The sequence below is a fragment of the Homo sapiens genome, chromosome 1, assembly GCF_000001405.40.
Source record: "Homo sapiens chromosome 1, GRCh38.p14 Primary Assembly".
NCBI classification, from domain to species: Eukaryota; Metazoa; Chordata; class Mammalia; order Primates; family Hominidae; genus Homo; species Homo sapiens.
This window is the reverse complement of record NC_000001.11, coordinates 177,980,365-177,999,766: the sequence shown is the minus strand read 5'-3', so window position 1 is coordinate 177,999,766 and position 19,402 is coordinate 177,980,365. Positions and strand designations below refer to the sequence as shown.

General features: G+C 42.4%; 2 protein-coding genes across 4 annotated transcripts in view; both read left to right on the top strand.

Moving 5' to 3' along the window:
* CRYZL2P-SEC16B (CRYZL2P-SEC16B readthrough) overlaps nucleotides 1-19,402 on the top strand; it is a 109,189-nt gene that overhangs the window by 38,210 nt on the left and 51,577 nt on the right. The window contains exons 7-8 of one of the 3 annotated variants that reach the window (NR_151492.2): nucleotides 14,705-14,811; nucleotides 15,349-15,561. The exons of 1 other annotated variant lie outside the window; for it this stretch is intronic. The gene's annotated coding sequence lies outside the window, so the exon portion shown is untranslated. The remainder of the gene's footprint in view (nucleotides 1-14,704; nucleotides 14,812-15,348; nucleotides 15,562-19,402) is intronic. One more of the 3 variants, NM_001356505.2, reaches the window with a different exon arrangement.
* Nucleotides 15,483-19,402, top strand: part of SEC16B (SEC16 homolog B, endoplasmic reticulum export factor) — a 55,497-nt gene continuing 51,577 nt past the window's right edge. Inside the window, exon 1 of the mRNA NM_001390835.1 lies at nucleotides 15,483-15,561. The gene's annotated coding sequence lies outside the window, so the exon portion shown is untranslated. The remainder of the gene's footprint in view (nucleotides 15,562-19,402) is intronic.

Genomic DNA, 19,402 nt, shown 5'->3' with positions numbered 1-19,402 from the left:
AGTGTTATTGCTAATTTGTCACAATGAACATAAAGCAGTGCTCAGAATATCTTTCTCAATATTAAAACAGCATTTACATGTCAATTGGTGCCACTTTCACGTAACATACCACGCTTGCTTAAAAGATTCCCCTTCCTTTCCTTTTGTTCTGAAAATTGCGAGAGCCAGTGGTAGAAGCTGGGACAGGTTTGCTGAATTTCTTCCTCCCTTTCTTCTCTCAAGAAAGGGTGAAGGGCAATGCCTTTCTGGAGGCAGTGTGAGGGAGTGGCACTAGCCCTTGCACGTTTCCTGCTTTGCATTTCTGCTCATGTCTCAGGTCCATTTTCTGATTCCAGGCCACCCTTTACAGATATGATGGAGCCAGGAACCACTGTGATCCACCAAGGATACCTCCCTACAGCTTCCAAATCAGGGTCAATAACCTGCTCTTCCTATAGAACAGCTCTCTTTTGACTTCAGCTTGTAAAAATTCTGATTTATTTATTAATTTCATTTTTATCCTCTCTTTTGCTTTAAAGGTTATATTTTTTAAGTTAAAAATAACCACAAGGAGACCTTGTGATCCTCTTCTCACTGACCCAGATATTTTAAGAGCAGATATTTTAAGAGACTGACAGCCGCTTCTCATCTGGGGATTCAGGCCAGCTCTCAGGAGCTGATGAGCTAAATGTAATAATAAAATATTAATCCTATTTCCCATACATGAACCACTCTTCTTGTTTTCCCTTACCTATCCAGACCCTACTCATCCTTCAGTGCATTGTAGAAAAAGCCTTGGAATTGGGGATAAAGACTTGTGCTCAATTCTCGACTTGGAAATTTTTGCTATCTGACCTTGGGCAAGCCACTTCATGTCTGTGAATCTTGGTTTCTTCACCTGTAAAACAGGAATGCTGAGACTCTCTCAGGGTGAATGTAGAGGGTTTAGGGTCCAGCCAGCCTGGTGACTGGAATATACAGAATGGAAATACCAAACTCCAGAAAGCCCAATTTGAGTAATCATCAATCTTTGATCTCTCCTATTTTTGTATTTCTGTGTTATTGAGTAATCCTCAATCTTTGATCTCTCCTATTTTTGTATTTCTGTGTTATTGAGTCTATCTACATCATAAAATTTAACAATTAACTATACCCTGTCTTTAATATGTGGCTCTAGTTTTCTTCACATCCCCAACTAGTGGGTAAGCACAGGAGGGCGCTGGGCATTTTATTTTTCCTGTGTTAACATTGCAATATTAGGCACTTAATTCTTGATAATTGATAGATGGAGTACTTTACCCATTTAACGAAATTAGCTTCTGCCACACAACACAGGTTATTTTTGTTGTCTTGATTGGTCCAGTTTCACTGCTTGTTGCTAATGATGAGCTAGCAGGACATTTTTTAGGCTTTCATTCTCTTGTCAGATTGTGGCTTCTCATCAAATATATGCAATATGTGTATTCAAAGACACTGCTGACCTGCTATGAACAGAGAGTTTACTTGTTTATCCACTGTGACGATGCATTTTCCCGGTGGAGCTTTGTTTTCTCTCTCAAGTGGGTTTGAGGAGGCCCATGGAGCTGTGTTTGTGCCTGCTGAGACTGTCTTTCCCCTGCCCTGACACAGAGGGCCAGAAAGGAGGCCTATGGCTGACGCTCTTCTGGCTGTGACACCCTCTCAGTGGAATTCATAGTGGCCCAAAGAGCTGGTGTTATTTAGGTGGGAACCCCATTCCCAGATGTCACATCGCTTTCACCAACTGCCTGCTGTGAGTTGAATTGTGTCCCCCAAAAGATATGTTGAAGTTCTAGCCTGTGGTATATGTGAATGTGACCTTATTTGGAAATAGGGTATTTGCAAATGTAATCAAGTTAAGATTAGGCCATACTGGATTGGCTCAAGGCATAAATCCAGTGTCTGCCATCTTTGTAAGGAGAGAGAGGGATTTGGCCACACACAGAAGGAAGATGGCCGTGTGAAGATGGAGGCAGAAATTGGGCTGATGCAGCTACAAGCCAGAGAATGTCAAGGCTGGCTGGGAGCCACCCGAAGCCAGAAGAGGCAGGAAAGGGTTCTCCTCTAGAGGCTGCAGAGGGAGCGTGACCCTGCCCACACCTCGATTCCAGACTTCTGGGCTTCAGAATCATTGGAGAATACATTTCTGTTGTTTTAGGCTACAAAGTTTGTGGTAATTTGTTATGGCAGCCACAGGAAACTAATATGCTGCCCAAGAGTCTAAATAAAATACAAAAGAGAAGCTCTAATTAGAATAGATTACCCACCTTCACCTAAAAGGCCTTGATCCTAATCCCGCTGTGCCCTACCTGGTGATTACCTGAGTACAAGGCTCCCAGGCCCTTCCCCTACACAGCTCTGTATGGTTCTTTATTTGACTTCATCTCCCAGGCGCCTGACCCCTAGCCCCTTCCTCTATATCCTCAACCTCACTGTTGTGCTCTAAATGATGCCCGACTAGCTCCTGGGGACAGGGGGACACCCCTCAAATGTACCAGGGCCTGATGGTGGGGTAGGTATCTGCATTGCTCCTCATGGCCACTCCCAGGCTATGCTTCTCCCTAACCCTCCCCCGAGCTTGGAAGCACAGGCCATGGGAATCTGTGTAAGCCTCTTGTGCCATGGCCTCTTACCAGCCTGCTGTCACTCTTCCCACTGAGTGAAGCTTTGAGCCCCTGCCGGCTCTCCTTTGCTCTTCTCTTGGTGATTGCATTGTCCACGTAATTCAGTCAGTCCCACCCCTGGCTGCGCTTTACAATTGTCTGGGAAGATTTTAAAAATGCCCACCATTAAGCTTCTCTCCTCTTTCCCTGTTTCTTCCCAATTAAGCCTGAATCTTTGGGGAGTTGGAGGCATGTGTATTTTTATTTTATTTTATTTTTTGAGACAGGGTCTCAGTCTGTCACCCAGGCTGGAGTGCAGTGGCGCCATCTTGGCTTACTGCAACCTCTCCCTCCTGGGTTCAAGCAATTCACCACCTCAGCCTCCCGAGTAGCTGGGACTATAGGCACACACCACCATGCCCGGCTAATTTTTGTACTTTTTGGTAGAAACAGGGTTTCACCATTGGCGAGGCTGGTCTCAAACTCCTGACCTCAAGTGATCCACCTGCCTCGGTCACCCAAAGTGCTGGGATTACAGGTGTGAGTCCCCACACCGAGATGGCATGTGCCTTTTTTAAGAGCTCCCAGGTCATTCTAGAATGTGGCCAGGTTGGAGAAGCTGGTGATGCAGGTAGTATTCTGGCCTCTTGATTTCTTACCTTCCTTAGAGCCAGCAGCCCTTCCTCCTCCCTCAGCCACCCGCTCTCAGTCATGCTATGGTGATTGGCTTTCCTAGTATTTGTTCCAACCTCAAAAATGTGGATTTCTGGCATCCTACTCTGACCACCACCTCCTCACTTCCAGTTCCTCCCTCTAGAACCCCAACTCTGACCATCATCTGGCCTCACCAGGTTCCCTAATCCATATACTTTTTCGTTGTCCATCATGACCCTCAGGTTCCCCTTTTATCCTTCCTTTCCCAGCCTGAGTCCATGGTCCCTGTTCAACTCCCTGGCTCTCGTGTTTCTCCGATGCTTTCCCCTGGCAAACCCCAGACCTGATAAAAATCTACTCACCAATTCAGGTCTGCATCCTGGCACCAAATCTCAGAGTGTGGCTGGATAAAAATACATAGCTGACTTACTGGTCTTAATTTTATGCACAGAGTGCAAGTGGATTCTCAGTGGTGCCTGGCAGTGCTGCCTCATTTCCCTAGTTAATTCACTTTCCTATTCTTTGAGAGGCTATTTTACACCTTCTCTCTCCAAACCAACTCCCTCTAGTATCTCTGCCTCCTCACTCTTCCAATAGGCACAGCTCATTTCTGCCTCCAGACGTTTGCACTTACAGTCACTCTGTCTTCTACATTTCCCCCTGCCATTCTTGCCACGAAAAACCCCTCACCGGATTCATTTCCACTTCTCAAAGAAGTATTCCCTGACTTCTCTGCCTAAAATAGCCTCCCATCCGGGCCCTGATGCTCTCTATCCTCTGACCCTTCCTTATGCACTTACCCCCGCTGGCATTACATGATGGGTTTATTTTTGTTCTCTTGTCTCCCTCCCTCCCTCCCTGGTGCCTAGGCTCCATGCAGGCAGCACCCTTCTGGTCTATCTGTTTCACCTCTACACCCACTACACCAGGGACAGTGCCTGGCACACAGCCAGCTCTCAGCGAATGAACCAGTGAATGGATGAGCAGAGGAATGGGTCTATGTTGTATATTTTTGAACTGCTGACTTGGGAGGAAGTATAAACAGGGATTAAAAGTTCAAGCTCTTGATTCATACTAGACCTAGACTCAAAGTCTGGTTCTTGAGACGGAGTCTTGCTCTGTCGCCCAGACTGGAGTGCAGTGGCGCGATCTCAGCTCACTGCAAGCTCCACCTTCCGGGTTATGCCATTCTCCTGCCTCAGCCTCCCGAGTAGCTGGGACTACAGGCGCCCGCCACCTCGCCTGGCTAATTTTTTGTATTTTTAGTAGAGATGGGGTTTCACCATGTTAGCCAGGATGGTCTTGATCTCCTGACCTCGTGATCCGTCTGCCTCGGCCTCCCAAAGTGCTGGGATTACAGGCATGAGCCACCGCACCCAGCCGACTCAAAGTCTGGTTCTATCCTTGCTAGCTGTGGGCCATTGAGCAAATTACCCACCTTCTCTGAGCTTCAGTTTTCTCACCTATAATAGAAGGGGATGGATGACAGTAGCTACATCAAAGGGCTGCTGTGTGGATTGCATAAAATTATATACATATAAAAAACAGCATAAAGCTGACAAACTGTAAGCACTCAACAATTGTTAAATAATAGCATAACAATTTACTAATTACTATTAAGTTAGAGGTATAGACCATAGGCTGCAGCAATAGTCTAAATGCTTTACTGGTAATGATTCAATCACTCTTCACAACAACCTTTGAGGTAGTTACTACTAACCCCATTTCACAGATAAGGAAGCTGAGGCCCAGAGAGATTCAATGATTTACCTGATATCATGGAACTAGAGAGTGGCAGAACCAGGACCCAGCCTGGCAGTATGTCTTCAGAGCCCACACACATAACCATGTGATATACTGCCTTTGCTCTAAAAAGGGGCTTTTCACATTTTACATAGTCACTCCTGAGGAGTTCAAGATGTTTTCCCAATACTTGACTCAGACTCGTGGTGGATAAACGTGAGATTTCTCGTCTATTGTAAATAAGTAATTTAGCTTAAGTATTGGAGATTAAAATTCTTTCGAGAAGAAACATTTATACTTATTATTTTCTGCCATGGGTTTTGGTTTAGTGAAGTCTGAGCTAATACTTCCAATCTGCTGGTGATGTTGGAAAGGATGTGCCTATGACACCCAAAAGTATGTATTTAGAAGCACATCAGTTATTGCATTTTGTTTGTTTGTTTGTTTTTGAGACGGAGTCATGCTCTGTCGCCAGGCGTGAGTGCAGTGGTGTGATCTTGGCTTACTGCAACCTCCGCCTTTTGGGTTTGAGCAATTATCCTGCCTCAGCCTCCCAAGTAGCTGGGACTACAGGCGTGTGCCACCACACCCAGCTAATTTTTGTATTTTTAGTACAGACAGGGTTTCACCATGTTGGCCCGAATGGTCTCGATCTCTTGACCGCCTGCCTCTGCCTCCCAAAGTGCTGGGATTACAGGTGTGAGCCACCACGCCTGGCCCAGTTATTGCATTTTTCACTTTTTTTTTGGTTTGTTTTTGTTTTAGAAATGGGGGTCTTGTTATGTCCCTCAGGCTGGTCTCGAACTTCTGGACTCAAGCAATCCTCTTGCCTTGGCCTCCCAAAGTGTTGGGGTTACAGGTGTGAGCCACCGTGCCCAGCCTTTCTTTTTCTTTTCTTTTTTTGAGATAAAGTCTCGCTCTGTCGCCCAGGCTGTAGTGCAATGGCACGATCTTGGCTCACTGCAACCTCTGCCTCCCAGGTTCAAGTGATTCTCCTGCTTCAGCCTCCTGCTTTCATTTTTATTCTATTGTTTAGTTACATGCAGACAAGTCTAGTAACTTCCCTAATTTATCCAAGCTGTCTGAACCAAAGAAAATGCAGGTCTATGAGTATGTGGATGTACGCTTTTTGCACATATTCCAAATGTGTCTCTTTTTAAATAGGGGACATGTGTGGGAAATGAGGTTGCAATATTGTCTTAGGATTGGGGGTCACAAGTTCCATGTAAACTAAAGCTCAATATTATCAAATAGGAGCCTGTGTAATACAAATGTTCTTAAATATGTGCAACATTCGCAGGTAAGAAATCTTTTAATATTCCTTCTTATTTCTTTTTTCACGAATCTTTTGTTCTCCACCACCCCAAGTTAATTTGAATTCATCTCCCACTGCTGACCTCTCACAGCACTTAATGTTGATATCACACACTTGGCATTTGTTCACATTCTGCTCTTTATGGATATCTACTTGTATCCTTAATTTCGTCTAGTTGAGTAATTATGAACAACCTAAAGGAGAATAAACTAATTGCGAGACAAGATGGCAAATGCAGGCCATATTTAATTATTCTTTGCATAAATCTCAGGAAGTGCTCTTTGCACACAAAGCAAGAATATGGTAATTATGAGTGTCTTTTCTAATTATGACAAGCCACTTTCCACAAGAACTGCTTTTAATATTTGCAGCACGATGTTTTGGGATCTTTGAGAGCCAAAAGCCCTGAGTTCTACTGTGCGACCTTGGCAAGTTATTTAACCTTTCTGAATCTCTAATTTATTTTATTTTTTTTGAGACAGGGTTTCATTTTGCTGTCCAGGCTGGAATGCACTGGTGTGATAACAGCTCACTGTGGCCTCAACCTCTTGGGTTCAAGTGATCCTCCCACCTCAGCCTCCCAAGTAGCTGGGACAATAGGCACACCACTATGCCTGGCTAATTTTTGTATTTTTTGTAGAGAGAGGGATTCGCCCTGTTGCCCAGGCTAGTCTTGAACTCCTGAGCTCAAGTGATTTGCCTGCCTCAGCCTCCCAAAGTGCTGGGATTACAGGTAAAAGCCGCTGTGCCTGGCCTGAATCTCTGATTATTTCTGTCTAAAATTATGGGTTGAATTAGAGATAAGTGCTATGGTTTGATTGTTTGTTTTCCCCCACAATTAATATGTTGAAATCCTAACTCCCAAGGTAATGGTATCAGGAGGTGGGGACTTTGGGAGGTGATTAGGTCATGAGGGTGGAACCATTATTAATGGGATTAATGCCCTTACAAAAGAGGCCTGAGGGATCTCAGTCATCCTTTCCACCATGCGAGGTCACAGTGAGATGTCTGCATATGAGGAATGGGTCTTCACGAAACACTCAATCTGCCATCCTCTCGAGCTTGGACTTTTGAGATGCCAGAACTGTGAGGACTAAACAGCTGTTTATAAGCCACACAACCTATGATATTTTGTTACAGCAGCCCATACAAACTGAGACAAGATACTTTAGGATTACAAAAAATGTTTAGGACTCTACTTTGAATTATTTTTGTAGTGGAAGTAAAAGAACATTTCTTTTTAAAAAGTTATTTCTTTTTCTTTTTTTTGTTATTATACTTTAAGTTCTAGCGTACATGTGCACAACGTGCAGTTTTGATACATAGGTAGACATGTGTCATGTTGGTTTGCTGCACCCATCAACTCGTCATTTACATTAGGTATTTCTCCTAATGCTATCCCTCCCCCAGCCCCCCAACCCCCAACAGGCCCCAGTATGTGATGTTTCCCACCCTGTGTCCATGTGTTCTCATTGTTCAGTTCCCACCTATGAGTGAGAACATGTGGTGTTTGGTTTTCTGTCTTTGTGATAGTTTGCTGAGAATGATGGTTTCTAGCTTTATCTATGTCCCTACAAAGGACATAAACTCATCTTTTTTATGGCTGCATAGTATTCCATGGTGTATATGTGCCACATTTTCTTAATCTAGTCTATCATTGTTGGGCATTTGGGTTGGTTCCAAGTCTTTGCTATTGTCAATAGTGCCGCAGTAAACATATGTGTGCATGTGTCTTTATAGTAGCATGATTTATAATCCTTTGGGTATATACCCAGAAATGCAATTGCTGGGTCAAATGGTATTTCTAGTTCTAGATCCTTGAGGAAATGCCACACTGTCTTCCACAATGGTCGAACTAGTTTACACTCCCACAAACAGTGTAAAAGCATTCCTATTTCCCCACATCCTCTCCAGCATCTGTTGTTTCCTGGCTTTTTAATGATTGCCATTCTAACTGGAGTGAGATGGTATCTCATTGTGGTTTTGATTTGCATTTCCCTGATGACCAGTGATGATGAGCATTTTTTCATGTGTCTGTTGGCTGCATAAAAGTCTTCTTTTGAGAAGTGTCTGTTCTTATCATTTACCCACTTTTTGATGAGGTTGTTTGTTTTTTTCTTGTAAATTTGTTTGAGTCCTTTGTAGATTCTGGATATTAGACCTTTGTCAGTTGGATAGATTGCACAAATTTTCTCCCATTCTGTAGGTTGCCTGTTCACTCTGATGGTAGTTTCTTTTGCCATGCAGAAGCTCTTTAGTTTAATTAGATCCCATTTGTCTATTTTGGCTTTTGTTGCCATTGCTTTTGGTGTTTTAGACATGAAGTCCTTGCCCATGCCTATGTCCTGAATCGTATTGCCTAAGTTTTCTTTTAGGGTTTTTATGGTTTTAGGTCTAACATTTAAATCTTTAATCCATCTTGAATGAATTTTTGTATAAGGTGTAAGGAAGGGATCCAGTTTCAGCTTTCTACACATGGCTAGCCAGTTTTCCCAGCACCATTTATCAAATAGGGAATCCCTTCCCCATTGCTTGTTTTTGTCAGGTTTGTCAAAGATCAGATGGTTGTAGACGTGTGGTGTTATTTCTGAGGCCTCTGTTCTGTTCCATTGGTCTATGTATCTGTTTTGGTACCAGTACCAGGCTGTTTTGGTTACTGTAGCCTTGTAGTATAGTTTGAAGTCAGGTTGAGTGATGCCTCTAGCTTTGTTCTTTTTGCTTAGGATTGTCTTGGCAATGCGGGCTCTTTTTTGGTTCCATATGAACTTTAAATTAGTTTTTTCCAATTCTGTGTAGAAAGTCATTGGTAGCTTGATGGGGATGGCATTGAATCTACAAATTACCTTGGGCAGTATGGCCATTTTCACAATATTGATTCTTCCTATCCATGAGCATGGACTGTTCTTCCATTTGTTTGTGTCCTCTTTTATTTCCTTGAGCAGTGGTTTGTAGTTCTCCTTAAAGAGATCCTTCACATCCCTTGTAAGTTGGATTCCCAGGTATTTTATTCTCTTTGAAGCAATTGTGAATGGGAGTTCACTCATGATTTGGCTCTCTGTTTGTCTGTTATTGGTGTGTAGGAATGCTTGTGATTTTTGCACATTGCTTTTGTATCCTGAGACTTTGCTGAAGTTGCTTATCAGCTTAGGGAGATTTTGGGCTGAGACAATGGGGTTTTCCAAATATACAATCATGTCATCTGTAAACAGGGACAATTTGACTTCCTCTTTTCCTAATTGAATACCCTTTGTTTCTTTCTCTTGCCTGATTGCCCTGGCCAGAACTTCCAACACTATGTTGAACAGGAGTGGTGAGAGAGGGCTTCCTTGTCTTGTGCCAGTTTTGAAAGGGAATGCTTCCAGTTTTTGCCCATTCAGTATGATATTGGCTGTGGGTTTGTCATAAACAGCTCTTATTATTTTGCAATATGTTCCATCAATACCTAGTTTATTGAGAGTTTTTAGCACAAAGTGCTGTTGAATTTTGTCGAAGTCTTTTTCTGCATCTATTGAGATAATCATGTGGTTTTTTGTTGTTTCTGTTTATGTGATGGATTACGTTTATTGATTTGCATATGTCGAACCAGCCTTGCATTCCAGGGATGAAGCCCACTTGATCGTGGTGGATAAGCTTTTTGATGTGCTGCTGGATTTGCTTTGCCAGTATTTTATTGAGGATTTTCGCATCGATGTTCATCAGGGATATTGGTCTACAATTCTGTTTTTTTGTTGTGTCTCTGCCAGGCTTTGCTATTAGGATGATGTTGGTCTCATAAGATGAGTTAGGGAGGATTCCCTCTTTTTCTATTGATTGGAATAGTTTCAGAAGGAATGGTACCAGCTCCTCTTTGTACCTCTGGTCGAATTCAGCTGTGAGTCTGTCTGGTCCTGGACTTTTTTTGGTTGGTAGGCTATTAATTATTGCCTCAATTTCAGAGCCTGTTATTGGTCTATTCAGAGATTCAACTTCTTCCTGGTTTAGTCTTGGAAGGTTGTGTGTGTCCAGGAATGTATCCATTTCTTCTAGATTTTCCAGTTTATTTGCATAGAGGTGTTTATAGTATTCTCTGATGGTAGTTTGTATTGCTGTGGGATTGGTGGTGATATCCCCTTTATAATTTTTTATTGCATCTATTTGATTCTTCTCTCTTTTCTTCTTTATTAGTCTTGCTAGCAGTCTATCAATTTTGTTGATCTTTTCAAAAAATCAGTTCCTGGAATCATTGATTTTCTGAAGGGTTTTTTGTGTCTCTTATCTCTTTCAGTTCTGCTCTGATCTTAGTTATTTCTTGCCTTCTGCTAGCTTTTGAATGTGTTTGCTCTTGCTTCTCTAGTTCTTTTAATTGCGACGTTAGGGTGTCACTTTTAGATCTTTCCTGCTTTCTCTTGTGGGCATTTAGTGCTATAAATTTCCCTCTACATGCTGCTTTAAATGTGTCCCAGAGATTGTATGTTGTGTCTTTGTTCTCATTGGTTTCAAAGAACATCTTTATTTCTGCCTTCATTTCGTTATGTACCCAGTAGTCATTCAGGAGCAGGTTGTTCAGTTTCCATGTAGTTGTGTGGTTTTGAGTGAGTTTCTTAATCCTGAGTTCTAATTTGATTGCACTGTGGTCTGAGAGACAGTTGGTTGTAATTTCTATTCTTTTATATTTGCTGAGGAGTGCTTTACTTCCAACTATGTGGTCAATTTTGGAATAAGTGCAACGTGGTGCTGAGAAGAATGTATATTCTGTTGACTTGGAGTGGAGAGTTCTGTAGATGTCTATTAGGTCTGCTTGGTGCAGAGCTGAGTTCAAGTCCTGGATATCCTTGTTAACCTTCTGTCTCGTTAATCTGTCTAATATTGACACTGGGGTGTTAAAGTCTCCCATTATTATTGGGTGGGAGTCTAAGTCTCTTTGTAGGTCTCTCAGGACTTGCTCTATGAATCTGGGTGCTCACGTATTGGGTGCATATATATTTAGGATTGTTAGCTCTTCTTGTTGAATTGATCCCTTTAGCATTATGTAATGGCCTTCTTTGTCTCTTTTGATCTTTGTTGGTTTAAAGTCTGTTTTACCAGAGAGTTGGATTGCAACCCCTGCTTTTTTTTGCTTTCCATTTGCTTGGTAGAGCTTCCTCCATCCCTTTATTTTGAGCCTGTGTGCATCTCTGCACCTGAGATGTGTCTCCTGAATACAGCACACTGATGGGTCTTGACTGTTTATCCAATTTGCCAGTCTGTGTCTTTTAAATGGGGCATTTAGCCCATTTACATTTAAGGTTAATATTGTTATGTGTGAATTTGATCCTGTCATTATGATGTTACCTGGTTATTTTGCCCGTTAATTGATGCAGTTTCTTCCTAGCATTGATGGTCTTTACATTTTGGTTTGTTTTTGCAGTGGCTGGTACTGGTTGCTCCTTTCCATGTTTAGTGCTTCCTTCAGGAGCTCTTGTAAGGCAGGCCTGGTGGTGACAAAATCTCTCAGCATTTGCTTGTCTGTAAAGGATTTTATTTCTCCTTCACTTATGAAGCTTAGTTTGGCTAGATATGAAATTCTGGGTTGAAAATTCCTTTCTTTAAGAATGTTGAATATTGGCCCTGACTCTCTTCTGGCTTGTAGGGTTTTTGCCAAGAGATCCACTGTTAGTCTGATGGGCTTCCCTTTGTGGGTAACCCAACCTTTCTCTCTGGCTGCCCTTAACATTTTTTCCTTCACTTCAACTTTGGTGAATCTGACAATTATGTGTCTTGGAGTTGCTCTTATCGAGTAGTATCTTTGTGGCGTTCTCTGTATTTCCTGAATTTGAATGTTGGCCTGCCTTGCTAGATTGGGGAATTTCTCCTGGATAATGTCCTGAAGAGTGTTTTCCAACTTGGTTCCATTCTCCCCATCACTTTTAGGTACACCAATCAAATGTAGATTTGGTCTTTTCACATAGTCTTATATTTCCTGGAGGCTTTGTTCATTTCTTTTTACCCTTTTGTCTCTAACCTTGTCTTTTCATTTCATTTCATTAATTTGATCTTCAATCACTGATACCCTTTCTTCCACTTGATCGAATTGGCTATTGAAGCTTGTGCATGCGTCATGAAGTTCTTGTGCCATGGTTTTCAGCTCCATCAGGTCATTTAAGATTTTCTCTACACTGTTTATTCTAGTTGGCCATTCGTCTAACCTTTTTTCAAGGTTTTTAGCTTCCTCGCGATGGGTTTGAACATGCTCCTTTAGCTCGGAGAAGTTTGTTATTACCGACTTCCTGAAGTCTACTTCTGTCAACTCATCAAAGTCATTCTCTGTCCCGCTTTGTTCCATTGCTGGCAAAGAGCTGCGATCCTTTGGAAGAGAAGAGGTGCTCTGGTTTTTAGATTTTTCTGCTTTTCTGTTCCGGTTTCTCCCCATCTTTGTGTTTTTGTCTACCTTTGGTCTTTGATGTTGGTGACCTACAGATGGGATTTTGGTGTAGATGTCCTTTTTGGTGATGTTGGTTCTATTCCTTTCTGTTTGCTAGTTTTCCTTTTAACAGTCAGGTCCCTCAGCTGTAGGTCTGTTGGAGTTTGCTGGAGGTCCACTCCAGACTCTGTGTACCTGGGTGTCACCAGTGGAGGCTCCAGAACAGCAAATATTGCAGAACGGCAAATATTGCTGCCTGGTCTTTCCTCTGGAAGCTTTGTCCCAGAGGGGCACCCGCCTATATGAGGTGTCTCTTGGCCCCTACTGGGAGGCGTCTTATCTCCCAGTTAGGCTACACAGGGATCAGGGACCCACTTGAGGAGGCAGTCTGTCCGTTCTCAGAGCTCAAACACCATGCTGGGAGAATCACTGCTCTCTTCAGAGCTGTCAGACAGGGACATTTATGTCTGCAGAAGCTGTCTGCTGCCTTTTGTTCAGCTATGCCCTGCCCATAAAGGTGGAGTCTATAGAGACAGAGGCCTTGCTAAGTTGCAGTGGGCTCCACCCAATTCGAGCTTCCTGGCTGCTTTGTTTACCTACTCAAGCCTCAGCAATGGCAGACTCTCCTCCCCCAGCCAGGCTGCCACCTCACAGATTGATCTCAGACTGCTGTGCTAGCAGTGAGCAAGGCTCCGTGGGCGTGGGATCCACTGAGCCAGGCACAGGAGAGAATCTCCTTGTCTGCTGGTTGCTAAGACCTTGGGAAAAATGCAATATTTGGGCGGCAGTGTCCCGTTTTTCTAGGTACAGTCTGTTACGGCTTCCTTTGGTTAGGAAAGGGAAATCCCCCGACCCCTTGTGCTTCCTGGGTGAGGTGATGCCCTGCCCTGCTTTGGCTTGCCCTCTGTGGACTGCATCCACTGTCCGACCAGTCCCAGTGAGATGAACCAGGTACCTCAGTTGGAAATGCAGAAATCACCTGTCTTCTGCATCAATCACGCTGGGAGCTGCAGACTGGAGCTGTTCCTATTTGGCCACCTTGGAACAGCTCCTAAAAAGTTATTTTGGAAACAGTTGTACAATTCAGAAATTTTACCCAAATCAGGACTCTTCCCTATTTAACATTGAGAACTTCCTCCATTCCAGGGTAATAAATACCCAATACATATGTGCCTTCTGCTTCACACTTGTATGTACTTCATACACAGCCATTAAGGTGAGTGAAAACTTGAATTTTCTATAATTTTCCCCATTAAAAAAAGCTTCTGTTGTCTATATAATTAAGATAATTTAACATCCAAGTACATTCATATGCCTCACATAATTTTCTTTTTTTGAGACAAGGTCTTACTCTGTCACCCAGGCTGGAGTGAAGTGGTGTGATCTTGACTCACTGAATTCTTGACCTCATGCCTCTCAACCTCAGCCCCCCAGGTAGCTGGGAGTACAGGTGCACGCCATCGCACAGGGCTAATTTTTATAATTTTAGTAGAGATGGGGTTTCACCATGTTGCCCAGGCTGATCTCAAACTCCTGGGCTCAAGCGATCTGCCTGGCTCAGCCTCCCAAAATGCTGGGATTACAGGCATGAACCACCTTGCCCAGCTCACTTCATTTTAATTCAAAAAAGTGGCTGAGAAATACATAGTGACCTCTCTTATGTTCTAATTATGTAAGATGCATTGGTTATTTGGTCATTGATCAATAAGTGCTTATTTCCCAGTTTTTGGCTGGTGCTAAAATGCAGGGATTGGTTGATCAATTCTAAGTCTCCTCTTTTCTGCAATCGGTAGTTTTTAAAATAATTTCTGAATCACCCCTGGAGGCACTATCTGAGACAGTATGGATTGAACAGCACTGTCAACAACATGTTCTGGGGTCCCTGCCTCTGTAGAAAGGACGTGAAGAGTTGACCTGCCTCTGAGAACAATCTCAAAAGAGGGAAGGGCTGTGTGAGGTCTGGGCTGGAAGAGGATTTTACATTGTCTCTTTTGCGTGGCTTGTCTTTTCCAGATAAGCAGAAGACATCTTTAGGATTCTTTTGTGTGTTTGGAACAGAGAGAGGAAAAACCCAGATCCATTTAAGATTCAGCAGAGGGCTTGGAAGCCTAAGAGTTCAGGCAAGTTACCACTTGTCAGTGATTCTTACCTAATAAAGACAGCTTTATTATTTCTTCTGATTATATAAATAGTCTTCTTTGATACCTACATACTCATAAATAAACTGAAATAATTCTGTATATGCATATATAATGGCATGTGGGATAATATACCTTTTCACTCAATAATATGTCATAGAAACCCTTCCAAGTCAACTGGCATAGCTTTATTATTTGTTATTAGGTATCCTAATGCTTCACAACATAAATATCTCATTATTTATCCAACTATTTCTTTATTCATGAGCATTCACATCTTCACTTTTTTGCTACTCCAAACTAACAATTTTATAATGAACTAACATCTGTTATGCTGAGTTCCTAATTTTCACTTTTTCAATGTCTAATCCCGATGGAATTTTTTCCCAATTATTAACTTGCTGCCCTGATTGTTTAGGAATTCAATGTAACAGTTAGGTTCTCTTTGGAACTCTCATTTAGAAATACAAAGGGGAGTGTGTGGTTTCTGTAATGTCAGAGAGTGGCCTCTTTTTTCAGACCTTCTCAATATGGTGGTCAGATCATGTTTCCAGCCTCAGGAGCTGCCTATTAAGCCATTCCGATGGGAAACTGCTGCTGAAGCAGAAAGGTTCTGGGCAGCTGACGTGGCAACACAGTTTACAGTATCTGCCAGCTGTGAGTAACAGCAGGCTGTCATGATGGGATATAGCAGAAGCAGCAGCAGCAACTCCTGATTTAGGGGCAATCGATGTAAGTACTTATTTTCACCATTAACCAATTAACCCAAACCAAATGCAAATTGAAGAATGCTAAGAGGGAATACAGTTCTCACTAAAGACCCTTCTAGCAGACTCATTTGAGAAGCATTTGGTCTCAACCAGAACAAAAAGGCATTAAGCCAGCACATGGTTTTCAGCAAAATGAAGAACTTCACAGGGTTTTGCTTGAAAAAACTAACTTCAGCTGTGGCTAATGCCAATTTCCAACCCTAACTCCTTGGAGTTCCTTCATACTCTGGCAAAGGCTGTTCCCTGGGGGATGGAATGGATTGTTAATGTGCAAAAGAACACGTGATTTCAACTTACTAAAAAACTTTAGGCAGGTTTGATTATGGAAAGATGAAAGGAAGCTTAGCAGTTACAGTGTTTGGGAAAAGGAGAGAGGCTGTTAAATATTTTGAGGAGGATTCAAGTTGGTTAAAACTGACTTAGAGGCAGTGTGGAAACTTTTGCTCTCAAGCTATATAGATGGCTAGGGGTGTGGTGCCTGCCAACCCCATGACAATAGAACTCCGGCTTGGATCTCTTCACAAGAGGAGGCTCTGTGGCTGCTGTTCCCAAGGCTTCCACCCTGGAAATCGTGTTTAGAGTTTCTAGTATTTTCAGAGATCATAAACCATGTATTTATGGGTTGGTGATTTTTTTTTTTTTCTGTTGAGACCTTTTACTCTGATGTTCAGCTCTGCATAAAACCTGAGTGACCAACAGCGGCTTAACCTGAGTACGGTTAACTTATTGACGAACAGATATTTTTGATTGTCACCTCTCTATGTGGGGGGATACCTAAGTGAACAAGATGGAAGAGGTGGGTCACTGCCCCTGAGGAGTCTGCTGCCCAGCAGGAGTAACAGATGTTATAAGAGGAGAAATGAACACTGGGCTGGGAGTCAGGGGACCTGGATTCGGATCCTGGCATTGATCCCAGTGAACCATATGGCACTCTGGGCTTCAGTTTATGTGCTATAAAATGAATGCATTGGGATGGATAACCTCTTCAGTAATTGATTGCTCACCTAGTGTGAATTTTCCCCTTGCTGAACAGCTTCTCACACAGCATTACCTTAGCTCCACATCCAATTCGGGGACAGGTGCTTTATTTCTGAAATGGATCTCACATGTCACCAGCCAGGCCTCATCAGATTGAGATATTCTATAATAGAAACTTGAAGGATTCTCCTAAATGGGCCCATTTACAGTGTAATGTTGATAGGTGGAAAGGTTGCTTTTGAGAAAGATGTCTTAAAAGGAGCAATTCCACACAGACTCATCTTAAATATCTATTTCTGTTTTCAAATGGTTATTGATTGGAACAAGTACCTTTTCAACGGCTGCTGACTTTTGAGAGGCAAAGACACAACAGCCTGACTCTTAAGAAAATGAAATTGCTTGAAATAAGTGTGACCCATAGGCTTAAGGTTTGAAATAAATTTAACTGAGTCAAAAACTAAACTAAAATAAAAATTAGCCAGGCTATGGTTTCAAGTAGAACAGAAAATACCCACCATTGGTGGCCATGCAGTGCAGCCTCAGCTTCCTAGAACTCCTCACCATCAGTTCAGTCCTTTTTGACTTTGGAAGTTGTAGGAGATTCATAACACGTTAGTAGAATGATGGATCAAATCCATTTTTAAAAAGCACAATTTTTATGTAGACTTATTGTCCATCAGCCCTGCTAGCCTAGCTCACAAAATTATCTGCATGGGCATTCATACCCTTGCTGCCTGCCTCCCTTCCCCAAGAGAGAGGTGTACTTCCTGACCCAGGACAAATCCCTTCTCTTGGATTACTTATCCCCATAAGCCTCCTCTGGAACTACCACACTCATCACTCAGTTCCTTTATTCTGCCTGTGTCTTCAGTCTTTCCACTGGCTTTCCACCACAAGTAAAAACATCTTTAAGTCTCTCCCATTTTATAATACACCAACCGACTACCCACCAAACCAGCCAATGAGCAAACACAATCCCTCCTTACTGTTTTCTCCCTTTTCTGACCCTTTCACCAACCCTATGGACTCCAGTGGGCACTTTTGAGTTCTTATGTAATTTGATGTCTTACTGTGTTTGTTGTCTTTATGCCTTTCTTGACAGCCTCTCCTCCCTTGGTTGCCTTTGATGCTGTTCTGACTTTGCCTTCTTAGTCTTCATTACTTCTCTTCCTCTGCTTTTTACCTTAAACTATTATTTTCTTATTTTGAAGTCTGTGCTCTTCTTTGACAATCTGATTCATATCTGAGATTTTAATTATGACTTGTATGCTGATAATGCCTAAATCAAAGCACATACAAATCTTCAGGAAAGAAGCAAAGTATAAACAAATGAATACCACCCACCACAGGTGTGTGTCTCTGCAGACTTCTCTTGGGAGCTCTTGACTCATATTTACTGCCTAAGACACCTCCAGTACATTGTCCTGCAGGCACCTCAACTCACCATGGCCCATCCTGAACATAGCTTTCTCTTAGTTGGCTGCCTTTCCCTCTGCATATAATAATGTATGTAACTTCTACCCTAACACTTACCACATTTTATTAAAGTGATTGGTTTATTTTATTTGTCTCTCCAGTTAATGGTGAAAACCTGAGAAATAGAATTATGTCTTTATTTTTGTATTCCTAATGCCTACAACATGAGGCACATAATAGTTATTCAGTCATTAATTATTGAATGAATAAATGGTGGACAGATGGCTGCTTGCTGCTGTAGGTTGACATTCTGTTATGTCAGTCAACCCAGTGAGAAACATCCTTCTTTCACAGTAGTTCAAGCATAAGTTCCGGGTGCCTGCTTTTTGGAATGTCTCTGGACATGTGCTGACTGCTGAGTTAATCACCATGGCCAGGGAGATGCAAGACTCTTACTGTCCAGGTCTAAATTTTGTGCTCATTCATAGAGCAAGAGATGGGGTCAGTCTCACACATGGCAAATAAACTGAGAGGGGGCAGGGAAGTTCATAAAAGTAAAACTGATAATTTATTACTAGAAGCCAGAGTGTAGGATGCTGGCAGAAATGGCAGGTATTCATCATAACTGTGTGCAAACCCCCTGGCTTTTATCATATAACTGCTATGATAAAAGCTAAACATCAGGGGTTTGCACATACTTATGCTGAGTACCTGCCATTTCTACACTCCACTCTTCTTGTCCGGGTGCCAAGCAGGGACAGTCTTCAGTATCAGCTCTCAACTTTTCTTTGCATTCTAAGCTCAAACCACATTGAGCATAAAACCCATTATGATGCTGCAAATGTACCAGGTCTTCCTTCGCCTCTTAGCCCTCATCATGTCTGTTCTGCCCAGAACACATCCTCTCTTGCTCTCCTTTCTCTCTTTCCAGGATAATGCACTCTCATCCTTCAGGTCTCAGTTGAGGCAGATTTTTTTTTTCTTTCTTTTCTTTCTTTCTTTCTTTTTTTTTTTCGCAGAGAAACCTTCTCTGGTGAGGGTTGATACCTTTTCTTTGCATTACATCTGCTTCTCATTGTCATCCTCTCCCAGCACTTATTATTGGAATTGCCTGTCACCTAGGCTGTGTCCCCATTAGGCACTAAACTCCAAGAAGAGAAGGAACAAGTTCACCTTGCCCACTTAGTGTGGCCTGAATTTAACACCTAAAATGATTATTGCCGCATAGTAGATATTCAAGAAATACACAATAATAAAGTACTCCTGGGTTCCCACCTGTTTCTTGGTTATTAAATAGGAGCACAAACTGTTTTGGGTTCCTTCCATATAGTTTCAGGGCTAGCAGCTTTCTTAGAGGAGCTATGGGGAAAAGGCTTTTCTCCCATAGGAACTGAATAAATGAAAGTCTT